Source organism: Homo sapiens, chromosome 15 (genome assembly GCF_000001405.40).
Source record: "Homo sapiens chromosome 15, GRCh38.p14 Primary Assembly".
NCBI classification, from domain to species: domain Eukaryota; kingdom Metazoa; phylum Chordata; class Mammalia; order Primates; family Hominidae; genus Homo; species Homo sapiens.
Genome location: NC_000015.10, coordinates 71,216,499 through 71,230,060, shown reverse-complemented (window position 1 = coordinate 71,230,060; position 13,562 = coordinate 71,216,499). Strand labels below are relative to the sequence as shown.

The window sequence follows — 13,562 nt, the reverse complement described above, 5'->3', positions numbered from 1 at the left end:
TTCAGCAGTAAGTTCTGCTGAATACATTAATACTACAGCAATAATGATTATAACACAACTACACTTCTTGAGCATCTTTTATGTGAAAGGCTCGTAGAGGAAGCAATGGTATTTCTCTCATATGCTGGATGTTTCTCCCACTCTCAATTTCTATATCACTGCCTATGTACCCACTTACTCTATATCACTTCTATTTCTTTCTTTATTATAAGTATGAAGCATCGCAAGCATAATTATCAATCATGATAATAAGAAGAGGCATAGCTTTCTTCCTTGCATTAGAGGAAGTTATTTAGATGCAGGTCTGTCACCTTCAGTTAATTAAAGCCAGGAGAGATCTCTACTCGAGTTTACCTATCCATAAAAATAATTAGCACAGTGTACGGTCAGCCATATCCATGAGTTCTGCATCTGTGGATTCAACCAACTACGAATCAAAAATATTGTGAAAAAAATGGATGGTTGCCTCAATATTGAACATGCATAGACTTTTTTCTTGTCATTATTCCCTAAACAATACAGTACAACTATTTACAAAGTATTTACATTGTATCAGTATCATATATAATTTAGGGATGATTTAAAGTATAGGAAGATGTGTGTATGTTATACACAAATACTACACCATTTTATAAAAGGGACTTGTACATCCTCAGATTTTGGTATCTGCAGGGGAGTCCTGGAATCAATATCAATCCCCACTGCACACCAAGGGACAACTGTATTTAAATAATACATTCTGTATGTAGATGGCTATGCTGTATCAAATACCTGCTAAATGAATTATGTGTGTAATCCCATTTAACCATCACTGCAAAGATCAAAGTTACTTTATTTTATAGATGAGGAAACTGAGTCTAAAAGACATTGAAGAACCTGTCCAAGCTACTAAGTCTGTGTGAACAGATATTAACAAATGTGACTGAATGAATAAGGGCAAGCCTCTAAAGAGCTTAACAACTGCAACACAGTACAGCTTTTAAATACCAAATTCCCATTCACAGAGGATTACAGGGATAGACTATTTGAAGTGAGGACTTACTGGAAAATGGGAAAAATTATTGTTTCCCCCCAAATTGAGAAAGGAAACGTTTTCAGCACTAGCCCACAATGAACTGTGGTCCAATCACTGAGGAAAAGGGCAATTTTAATTAATTGCTGCTGGATCCATGTGGCCCACAAGAGAACCAAATGTTTCTGCATGAAAAAAGATTCATGAGGGAAGATAAAATATATTGTGTGCTTGGAAGCTAAACCATAAATGGGGAAAGGAAGGCTCTGGGGCAAGGCCTGACCTGGGGCATAAGGGCGAGAATGGAGTTGGGAGCAGGAAGGGAGCATAACTCAGTGTTACAAGCTGGGCTTTAAAGCCAGGTTCTCTGGTTTAAATCCCTGCTCTGCAGCCTACTGGCTCTGGGACCCAGAGCTCATCACATTGTTGCTGTAAGCACAGAATTCTTCTCATGTTACACAAGACACACTAAAGATAGTTTATGCATAAGGGTCCTATGAGGTTTAGCTCAGAGCCTCTTACAGTGCATTAGTTTCTGTAGCTGCTGTAACAGGGTACCACAAACTTGGTGATTTATAACAACAGAAATCTATTCTTTTACAGTTCTGGAGGCCAGAAATTTAAAATCAGCATCACTAGGCTGAAATCAAGGTGGCAGCAGGGCCATGCTCCTTTCAGAGGCTCTGGGGGAGGATCTGTTTCCTGGCCTCTTCCAGCTTCTGGCGGCCGCCAGCATGCCTTGGCTGTGGCTATATCACTCCAGTCTTCAAGAGCTGCATCTTCAAGTCTCTCTCTATTCTATCTTCACATCAGCCACCCTGTTGTGTGCCTGCATGTTACATCTCCCTCTGCTTGTCTCTTATAAGGACATTCATAATTGCACATAGAACTCACCTGAATAATCCAGAATACTCTCCCCATCTCAAGATACTTAATCACATCTGAAAAGACCCTTTTTCCAAATAAGTTAGCATTTACAGCCTCCAGGACTAGGGCCTGCTATCTTTGAGGACTGAGTGGGAGAGGGCAGGGAATTATTCAACCTACTACAGAGGAAACCATCGACAAACATCAGCTGTCATTGCTCTTGTTACTATTAATAGAGACAAGACAAAAGGACTACACATCCAGAAAAGGGCTTATGGATTGACAAGCAAGTGAGGACCTAAAAAACCCTTGAGGGATGTGAGCACTTTATCCTGAGAACCAACAGGCAGGCCATGTGTATTACAGGTCAACCACAGCGGGTATCCCCTAAACCTCACGTAAATTACCCGTGTCCACATTGTGGGCTCGGGGTGGCAATGAGAAGAGCAAGGATGTTAGAGTCAGGGAACCCTGCACTCAAATCCCATTCCGTCCCTTCCTGGAGCAGGATGCTGGGGACTTCTTTACCTTAGTTCAGTGTCCTCTGTAAACTGGGGCTGGTTGAGGCTCAAATAGTACATGTCAATGATGTGGCACATAGTAGGTCCTGCAAAAATGGCTGTGATTACTATGACTGAATCAACAATATGTGCAGGCTCCTGCAGGTAGGATGAGCAAAGGAAACGATAGCAACCCCCACATGCGGGAAATTCCTTCCTCCCATCCTCATATGAAGGCATCGCAGGCTGGCACTAGGTGTGCGCTGGAGGAAAAGCCCTAGCGGATTCCAGATGCAGAACTGAGATCCCCCTTCTGGGACACACATATTGCAGTCAGGCTTTTTCCATAGCCCATCGCATCTTTCTTCTGGAACCAGAGTTATGAATGACTTGGAGAAAGTTCAATGCAGCATTCTTACGGCGAATGTGATCTTTGTTCTGATAACTAATGAAATACTTCTGACACTTAATGAAATACCGCAAGAAATGAACAAGGGCTCTTCGGAGCCTTGTCTGAGATCAGAGTAACTCAAGCTTAAAATCTGGCTCCAATCCTTCCTAACCTACAGGCAGAAATGTACATACCATCAGGCCTAGCTCTGCTACAAACTCTGTTACTGAAAAGGGCTAAGGTTTCTGATTTAGAAATCAAAGCATATTGGAACACCGTTTATCTGCTTAGCATCAACAGGTAACTTCTTGTCAAACGATTCAGGGACTAAGTGCTATTCCTGCTTCAGAAGGTAAAAAAAAACACACAAAAATTCCCTTGAAGTAGGAAAACAAAAAATACCAAAAACAAGGAGTATGCATTTCAAACACTTGTATCCGTTTTCTCGGCTAACTACCCAGGATGGCCAGGGAGGCTTTCCAAGGAGAAACACAGATAAGGCCAAAGATTTCACTTCTTGCTATGTGGTTTCTGCCCCCCTGTAGGTAACAAGACTCCCTGGGTATTGACTGAAGGTCAGGAAATCGGCATGTGGCTTTGTGAAGTTTAATTAACAGCAAGTTTTCCTATCCAGCATCACGAAGAGGCCCAGTCAGCTCTAGGGGCCCCCAGGAAAGAAACAACATATTGCTCCAAAGTTATTACCGATGAAATGCAAGTAGCCTCCAACAAAGCATGGGAAAGGAGGAGCTGAAAAAACAAATGATTCCTACCTGCAGCCAGGGACAGTTTCCAGGGGAGGTGGGAATGTGTGGGTAAAACTTGTGATCCAGGCCTGATCCAGGCTGTCCTGTTTCAAAATGAACGAACCTTTCAAACAAACACACATACATCCATGTGTGCACATGCAAACACACACACGTACTCCTGTACACACATGAACATGGACACACAGACAACAAATTATAGAAAGGGACACAAGTCTCTAAATCCCAAAAATTATCTAGTCAATAGTAATAAAATAATCAAGCCATGTTGTTTTTGAATGGTGTCTTATGTTTTTTGAAGTACTTTTACAGCTGTTACCTCATTTGACCCTCACAACAGGCTTGTGTGGTAGGCAGAGGACATATAATTATTCATATTTTATAGATTACATTAAGTGACTCCCATAGGCCACCCAGTTAGCAGATGATGGAGCTGAGACAGGAAGTGGGGTCTAATGATTCCCAGCCCAGGGGTTTCTACAAGGCACGAAATAGTGATCCCTTCCATGGAAGGGGGCTGTCCAAGAAGAGACTAGCAAAAGGAGGACAGACGTGTGAACAACACTTTAAAGAAAAACTCATGAGACAGAAGTCTGAATGGAGGGAATTGAAGAGTTACAATGTCAGTGCATCTACAGAGAAAAACCAGCACATTCCAGAAGCATGTTTGGAAAGGTGTTTGAGGCCTAGCACGGTAGCTCACGCCTGTAATCCCAGCACTCTGGGAGGCCAAGACAAGCAGATCACTTGAGGTCAGGAGTTCGAGACCAGCCTAGCCAACATGGTGAAACCCCATCTCTACTAAAAACAAACATTTGCTGAGTGTGGTGGCACGTGCCTGTAGTCCCAGCTATAGGCTGGGGCAGGAGAATCATTTGAACTCGGGAGGCGGAGGTTGCAGTGAACCAAGATTGTGCCACTGCACTCCCGCCTGGGCAACAGAGCGAAACTCCGTCTCAAAAAAAAAAAAAAGAAAAAAAAAAAGAAAAAGAAAATGTGTTTGAGAGCTGTGCTTCCTAGTCACCTTCTCTTCTCATTACTCTGGGTGGCAGAAAAGATGACAGGAACATTTAAAACAGCAGTTGGTCTCAATAATGCATCAATAAAAAGCAAGACCCCTTAATAACTAGAATAAGGACCTCTTTATTTTATGAATGTAGAAACTCAGGCCCAGAGAAATGAGGTGACTTGTCCAGGATCAAAGCATTCATAAGAGCTGAGGACTGAACTCTGAACTTGGGATACAAAGCTCTTTATTCTATACTGGCTGCCTTGGGCATTTACTATTTTTAACTTCATTATTGTCACTCTCCTTCATAAACACTTCTAAAGAAGAATGCTTAAGGGTAGGGTGGGGATGCATGGTTTTTCCTCTTCTTCATTTTTCTGGGAAACAGGATCACTAAATTTCCCATAAACAACCAGAGTGGATGGGGGAAAGTGGCAGGTGGTCCTGCTGGCACAGAAGTTGTCCTATTGCTTGAGTAATCATAAGACCCCAAAATGCAAGTACTATTATGGTAGGCTGATAATGTCCCCCCTCCCTTCCAAAGATGTCCACATCCTAACCCCCAGAACCTGTGAATGTTACCTTATATGGCAATGGGACTTTGTGGTGATGATTAAATTAAGGATTTTGACATGGGAGATTATCCTGGATTACCTGGGTGGGTCCAGTGTAATCACAAGGGTCCTCCTTATAAGTGGGAGGTAGGAGGATAAGAGTCAGAGAACGAGATGAGATTACAGAAGCAAGAGATTAGAGTGATGGGAGGAGGGGCCACGAGCCAATGCAAGTAGGCAGCCTCTCAAAGCTGGAGAAGGGAAGGGCACGGTTTCTCCTCAAAGCCCCCAGAAGGAGTGCAATCCTACTAGCAGCTTGACTTCAGCCTTCTGACTTCCAGAACTGTAAGCAAATAAACTGGTGTGTTTTTTTTAAGCAACTAAGTGTGTAGTGAGTTTTCCAACATCAATGGGAAACTAATACACCTGTAACAAAACTACAGGGTCAAGCCTTAGTCCCCAGTTAACCCCGGCTTCTTGGATTGACAGAGACGGGGTGGTAGATGGCATAGCCAAACAGCTTGAAAAGCACAAGGCATTAAGGAGAAATTTAGATGGGCTTTACACTGTATACATCATCTCACGGAAAAAATGTTGGCCATCCATGTTTATAGGGACTGTCTTACTCTAAGAATTTCTTGTTCAGTCCCCTTAGGACTGCTTTAAAGTTCCTCTCTGGAAAGGAGCCTGTGGACTTCCCCAGTCTCGCCTGGACACTCCCTCATTTGCAGCCTGTGCTCCAGCCTCACCAAACCATTTATGAACATGACATGCTCACTCATGCCTCCAGGTCTCCACCCTGACCATTTGCTCTTTGCAGGAAGGCCCTCCTCACTCTTGGGCTCTGCTAAAATCTTTCCTTTTCAAAGCACAGCTCAATTATTCCTCCGAAGCCTTCCCTGGCTCCTCCAGTTCTCCGTTGTCTTCCCCTCTCCTCCCTGGGCACTTGACTTGTAAATGTCTGCTTGTCTTCCTGCTCCACCCCACCAGCATGAGCCCCTCAAGGATAAGGAGTACTTCTTCTCCACTTTGTGTCAGCAAACCACCACATCCCCCAGCCACACCAAGCCTTTCCCAGCTCTTTCCCATCTTTTCCACCTAAAAAATGCAAACTAATCATTCAAGAAAGTACCCTCCACCATGAAGTGACCTTGTTCCCTAAGAATTAGTCCCACCTCTCTGCTCCCACAGCCCTCGGCTCATCCCCCAGGTAGAACACTCAGCACACTCCCTTAGGTATTCATACCTGAGCTGTTTCCTCATCAGACATGGAGGTCATGGAAAACCACGCCTCTTTCACCTGTCTACCCCTCCTGTGTTTAGCACAGTGCCTGGCCCAAAGCAAATACACAAAGAATATTGGCTGAATTCAAATGACAACAAAACTTTAAACAAGGCAATGTCTATTAAGCCCTGAGATCCAGAGGCAGCCTTAACAGCAAATAAGTATGTGAATGAAGACTTTGCAGGGCCAACTTCTAATGACAGCGGGTAGTGTTTCCTCTGGGCTTCTGGAGTTCACAGTAGAGCCAGTTTCAGTATTCCTATGTAACACTAAAAGCTTTGGGATAAATATTAGAGAAATATTTCATTTTCCATCTCAAAGAGGTGTTAGTTTATCAAACTTAGCTAAATTAATGAGTGTTACCTTTCACTTTGAAAAGGGCTTTCTAGAAAAGCAGGTCTGAAAGGAGCATGATGTCGCACAGGCTTGTGCTCTCTTGCTTGCCTTCTGCGTGACCTTGAAGGAGATATTTACTCCCTGACCCTTGAGTTTGGCATCCATAAATGAGAACACCACGCATCTGTCACACAGGTTGTAATGAAGACACGATAAAATGCTGCAGGTCAAAACAACTGCCAGTGTGTCTGGCAGGTGGAAGGCATTGAGACGCCTTTACTGAGCACTCAGGAGATACTGTGCTAAGCATGTGGTGTGAGTTATCCAACTCACAGCAACTCAGTGAGGTAGGTGTATTATTATTCCCACCAGGGAAAAGTTAAGTAACATCGGCAGGATACACAGCCAGCAAGTGGCAGGGTCAGATGGAGCATCCAAACCTGTCAATCCCAGAAGCTGCACTCATAACTATCCTGTAGTTTACAGCCTTTCAGGGTGTGTAGCTCCTGTTCTTCTAGATTCTAATAAAGCACTGTATTTCAAAGCCCCAGTCATTGAGAGCTGGCCACAAACTGCTCTTGAAGTGTGGGTCTGCACGCCTGGGCAAGAGTTTTCCTCACCCGACCAGACTCCTTCCCAACAGGAAATCAGCTCCACAGAAAAACGTCTATAGGAAACTGCTCTGGGAAGTTCTGGGAAGCCCACCCTCCTCAACCTCTTTCACCCCCAAACACCTGAGGAATATGACACACTCCCCTCAGTGGGAACAGGGTCATGATTTTCATAGTTGAGGCTTTCATATCCCAGCCACCCACAGCTGTCTCCAGGAGAAGAAAGTTGTCAACCTGGCACTGCTTGGCTCAAATTCATACTTGAAAATCTGAATTAAAGCCATCAAATATCCCATTCCCCAGATTCCAGCTGGTTAATGAGTGTGATGAATGACCAGAAAAGCTGGCTAATGTAGGCAAATGTAAGGAAGTCCAGTGGGAAGGAAAGCTTGCCTGATATCGGGCCCTTTAGCATGAGAGTGGTGAAAAAAATCACCTGAAGTCCTCAAATAAGAGAGGGCACTGCTCTCATACCCTGTCTTTGTGGAAGCTGGGTGAAACTGACCAACAGACATTTACAACACATTTCTGTTAGGTTGTGTACTTGGGTTCTGGGCCACAGGGAGTCTTTCTGGATGCCATTTTCCCCAGACATTTTGGGAATGGGAAGAAATCCACCCTGCTTTCAGAGTTATAAAAGGGAAGGTCTTCAAAGGACTTTTTTTCCAACAGGCATTTTTCCAAAGAAGATACATAAACAGCCATTAAGCACATAAAAAAATGTTCAACATCACTGATCATTAGGGAAATGCAAACCAAACTACAATGAGATACCACCCCACACCCATTAGGATGGGCACTATCAAAAAAAAACAGAAAATAACAAGTGTTGGTGAGGACGGAATCCTCGTGCACTGTTGTGGGAAGGTAAAATAGTACAGCTGCTATAGAAAACAGTATGGCAGTTCTTCAAAAATCTAAAAATATGATTACCCTATGATCCAGAAATTCCACTTCCCAATTTCCACCCAAAAGAACTGAAAACACCCATGTTCATAGCAGTGTTATTCACAATTCCTAAAATGTGGAAGCAACCTAAATGTCCACTGATGGATGAAAGGATAAGCAAAATGTGGTCTATACATGCAATGGAATACTATTCAGCCCTAAAAAGGAATATGCTACAATATGGAATAAACCTTGAGGACATTATGTTGAGTGAAATAAGCCAGTCACAAAAACGACAAATACTGTATCATTCAATTTACATGAGATACTTAAGAGTAGTCAAAATCATAGAGGAAGAAAGTAGAATGGTGGTTGGCTAAGGGCTGCGGTGGGGGAAGGAAGGAATGTGAAGTTATTGTTTCATGGGTACAGTTTCAGTTTTGAAAGATAAAAAGAGTTCTGTGAATGGATGGTGGTGATGGTAGCGTAACAGTATGAATATACTCAGTGTCACTGAACCATATGCTTAAAAATAGTTAAGATGGTCAATTTTATGTTATGTGTATTTTAACACAATAAAATAATTGGAGGAAGAAAAGTTGAAGGGGAGTCCTATAGTAACAGGGGCTCCTTCCAGCACCCTCTAGTCTACAGGTACCCATTTCCAGAAACTGAGGGGGAAGTCTCCCCTACCAAGGAGTCTCTTCAGTTTCACAAGTGTGAGTTGCTACAATGCGGCATGCTTTGCAGGACTCACCTAAACACCTTTCTTCCCTACTCGCCCCTTCCCCTTTAGCCATCACGGGGACACAGCCTTGGGCCTGGAGTGAAAGATGACTTGGTTGAGTGCCATTATGGAATCTGTTGGCCAAGACCTGAAGGATGAACCCCCTAGCCTGGAACCTCCCCAGGCTGCCATTGCCCTCACTAAATCACAGGAGAATGCCACCCTTTGTGGAGGATTTTTCTGAGCAAGCCACACTAAGAAGGGGCAGAGAGCAGGGAGCACAGACACTAGGGTCTTGGCTGCACCCAGTCTATGCTTCCCAGAGTCCCACCCATCTGGACGGGAGCTCAGTTCCTGGCTCCCTGTCTTCCTGAGTGGCCCTAGTTCACCTGATCCCTTCTGCTGCACTTGAGTTCTAACTGGTACTCTCTCTAACACACTATCTAATACCAGCCTTTAGACCCATAATGGGAGTTACAGCGTTCACTTTGAGCATCCACTATGGGCCAGGCAATATGAATGTATTTAATGAGTGTCCACTATGGGCCAGGCAATATGAATGTATTATTTCATTGAATTATTCAACAACCCCACATGATAGGTATTATTATTACTCTCATTTGAAAGATGAAGCCCCTGAGGCTCAGAGAAGTTTAATTGTCCTAAGCTCGGAATCCTTGGGAGAGCTCCAATGAAGATTGACGTTATTTTTGAGGCTTTTAGAGTAGGATTTATACTACGTATGTGCTTGTTTTAATGAGACAAAGGCCTGATATGGAAGCAAGTGGACTCAAGAAGTTTCCAGATATATTCCAGCTAAGTAAATTCTATTTATTCATCAAATCCTACCTGCTCTGTGCAGTCTTCCCTGACTGTTCCATTCCACAAGGATTCCTTCTTCCTGAACCCTGGTCGTATCTCTACCATCTCCCAGAGTGGGCAGTGTTTTTTGGGTTTGCCCTTCTCCACCACCAAAGTGTAAGGCCCCCAAGAATAGAGACTGTGACTTCTAATTTTTTTTTTGAACTCACGTGATGCCTAGGATTAGATGCAAAGAAGATTACCCTGGTTAAAGGAGCTGAACATTGAAAGGAAGAGATGCAGCTCATTTTAAGCCTTCACTATTAAATCCCATCCATTTGTCAAGACACAGCTCAGACAGCCCAACCTCCACACAGCTTTTCTGAACACACCAGCTGGAAGTCAGCAGCTTCATTTTCAGAATACCCATTTCAGTGAAAAGAACTTTAGTGTCAGACTCTGGCAGACCTCTTTTGAATTCTAGTGCTGTTGCTTCTCAAGTGGTAATCTTGAGCAAGTCACTTCATTCCTCCCAGCCTCGGTTTCATTGTTTATAAAATGTGAATAATAGTTTCTGCCTCACAGGGTTGTGTAACTGTAAATGTTGTCATGCATTTGAAAGAATGCCTGCACAGGAGACGTGCTTCAACATGGGAGCCATTGTCACTACTATCTCATCAGACTGCCTTATATTGAAGGCATTTACATGTGCATCTTTTCCAACCCTCTAGAGGAGTGGTTCTCAAACTCTAGGGTATATCAGAAGCATTTAAAATGAAGAAACGTAGAACATATAACTGACCTACAAATCAGAATCCCCATTAGGCATGGGAGATGGTGGGGACTTGGCAACTCTCTTTTTAACAAGCCACCCACTCCACGGCAAGTGATTCTGATACGTGCTCACCAAACTTGGAAAATTCTGCTAGACAATATTTGATTCCCAAAATCTTTTCCATGGAAACTTGAGTCTCCAAAGAGCTTCATCCAGACCAGTGCTTCCCAAACTTGGCTGGATTGGAATCAGACCAACATCTGAGGGTGGCCCCTAGAGATTCCGATGCTGGTTTGGAGTGTGACGTGGGTGTCAGGGTTTCTAAAAGATGGGAAAAAAAATTCTAACAGTCAGTCAAGGTTGAAAACCACTGTTCCATTGGATCTTGACCCCAGGTTTCTATAGCAATACCTCTGAGGCTTCAACCAGAGCAACTCAGATTTTACGTGTGTTATTACATAAACTGAGCCTCCATCTAAGATTGATTTTGCAGAACGGATTCTTCTGCTTAAAAAAAAAATGGTAATTTTGCAAACAACTGCTCTAGCCTGTCAGTAAGAGCCATGAGGTCCCAAAACCTGGCTTTTATTCACCTTTGTGTATGTCCCAGGGCCTTACAACATAGTAGATGTTTAATAAATATCTGGTGGAAGGTTGAATAGCTTCATTTGTTATCTGACTCCAATGAAGTTTCCTGTTGCCTAGCAGAGCAACCTAACAATTTTTTAAACATCTAAACTCCAACAGCCTTTTCCTCAAACTTCAAACCTGAAACAGAGAGTGGAGCGGACAGCCATCCTGAAAATATGCTGACATTTCTCCTTGGGGTCAAATATACTATGCAAGTACCTAATGACTGATGAATATAAGCAAATGTGATTTTCATCAGCCGGGAGGAGCATGACATATGTAGGCAGCACAGGCCTCCTAGGCTAATATTTGGATTATTTCATCAGTAACTGTCAAATCACAAGAGCATGATAAAAACTTGCAGGAACTTCATAGTAAACAGTTTAACTGGCCCCCGTCAATACATTTGAAGAAAAAAATTTCCTGCTGCCAAAACACACAGGCACAATGCCTGCAGCACAGGCCTGTGGCCAACAAGAGCCTGATCCTCAGGCAGCTCTTCTAGGTTCTCCACCACAGAGGCTTTCAAGAAGCCTCTTTCCCACTCAGACCTCACCCAAATCCAGCCCTCCATCCCTTCAGTTGGCACCCGCAGGAGGATGAGTACTGCAGGGATCTGGGGGTGAGCAGCACCGCCTTCAAAACTCAGCTTGTCCACTGGCTCTAGGTCCTCTGATTCCTCAGGTGTAACATCTACTTCATCAGGTCACGTCCTTAGAGCCACGATGGCCTGGGTTTCAAGCCTGACTCTATTTCCTTACCTCTAAAATGAAGATGCTATTAGCAACTCTCTTATAGGACCATGAGTGTAAAGTGATAAGAACAGTGCCTGGGGAGGCCACGCACGGTGACTCATGCCTGTAATCCCAACACTTTGGGAGGCCGAAGCGGGCAGGAGTTCGAGGCCAGCCTGGCCAACAAGGTGAAACCTCATCTCCACTAAAAATACAAAAATTAGCTAGGCGTGGTGGTACATGCCTGCAGTCCCAGCTACTAGGGAGGCTGAGGCACAGGAATCATTTGAACCCAGGAGGTGGAGGTTGCAGTGAACTGAGATGGTACCACTGCACTCTAGCCTGGGCAACAGAGCCAGACTACATCTCAAAAAAAAAAAAAAAGAACAGTGCCTGGTACAGGATGGATATTTAATAAACCTTAGCTATTATAAATTTGCAATTCTAAAATTAAGAGTTTTGAAAATCAAGATTTGTCTTTCCTTTTCAGGCTTTTGTCAGTTTGGTGACAAAACTCATTGGCCAACAAACCTGATCTTTTTTTTTTTTTTGAGACGGAGTCTCTCTCTGTTGCCCAGGCTGGAGTACAGTGGTGCGATCTCGGCTCACTGCAAGCTCTGCCTCCCGGGTTCACGCCATTCTCCTGCCTCAGCCTCCCGAGTAGCTGGGAATACAGGCACCCGCCACCACGTCTGGCTAATTTTTGTGTGTGTATTTTTAGTACAGATGGGGTTTCACCACGTTTAGCCAGGATGGTCTCGATCTCCTGACCTCGTGATCTGCCTGCCTTGGCCTCCCAAAGTACTAGGATTACAGGAGTGAGCCAACGCACCTGGCCTCAAACCTGATCTTAACCGATATCAGGCTACTTATGATCTTTTTGTTGTATCCTGCTTGGTGAGAACATCCATATGTTTCATTGCAGAAATAATAATGTGTTTGATTATGGGATGCTGTCCCATACGACGGAAGAAATGCTATTAACATGTGAAATATGTCTGAATTACCTTTCTAAAATCTGGGCAGTTCTGAATTCCAAAACATATTGGCCATATGCATTTCAGATAAGGGACTATGGGCCAGGCGCAGTGGCTCATGCCTATAATCCCAGCACTTTGGGAGACCGAGGTGGGCAGATCACTTGAGGTCAGGAGTTCAAGACCAGCCTGGCCAACATGGCGAAACCCCACCTCTACTAAAGATACAAAAATTAGCTGGGTATGGTGGTGCATGCCTGTAATCCCAGCTGCTCGGGAGGCTGAGGCATGAGAATAGCTTGAACCCGGAGTTGGAGGCTGCAGTGAGCCCAGATGGTGCCACTGCACTCCAACCTGGGTGACAGCGTGAGACTCTGTCTCAAAAAAATAAGGGACTATGGAGCTATGCTATTACGGCATTGTGGCTGGGATCAAAAGAGACAACGTACATCTAGCCTTCGGCTTTAGGAGCAGACCGTCCTAGAGGGTGCTCAGGTTCCCATGTAGAAAGAGAGAGAGAAGGAAGCATTCCTTTGGGGCTGCCTCTCTCCTTCCCCCTCCATGCTCAGTCTTGGAACTCACTGTTCTTCACTCCTCTCTTCTGTCTACTCAAACTTGACTCATCCTTCAGAATTCAGCTGAAGAACCCTTCTTCCCGAAATGGTCCTCTCTCTCTCCAAACCCCTACTGCACCAGGT

General features: G+C 44.1%; 1 protein-coding gene across 3 annotated transcripts in view, besides 1 other annotated feature; it reads right to left on the bottom strand.

The window, feature by feature from the left end:
* THSD4 (thrombospondin type 1 domain containing 4) overlaps positions 1-13,562 on the bottom strand; it is a 686,490-nt gene that overhangs the window by 553,323 nt on the left and 119,605 nt on the right. The gene's annotated exons all lie outside the window — the stretch shown is intronic.
* Positions 6,132-6,632: an enhancer, noted in NCBI's record as "H3K4me1 hESC enhancer chr15:71515768-71516268 (GRCh37/hg19 assembly coordinates)". NCBI's record gives its function as "activates a minimal SCP1, AML or CMV promoter by ChIP-STARR-seq in primed H9 embryonic stem cells {active_cell/tissue: H9 hESC(primed)}" and the evidence as "EXISTENCE:reporter gene assay evidence [ECO:0000049][PMID:30033119]".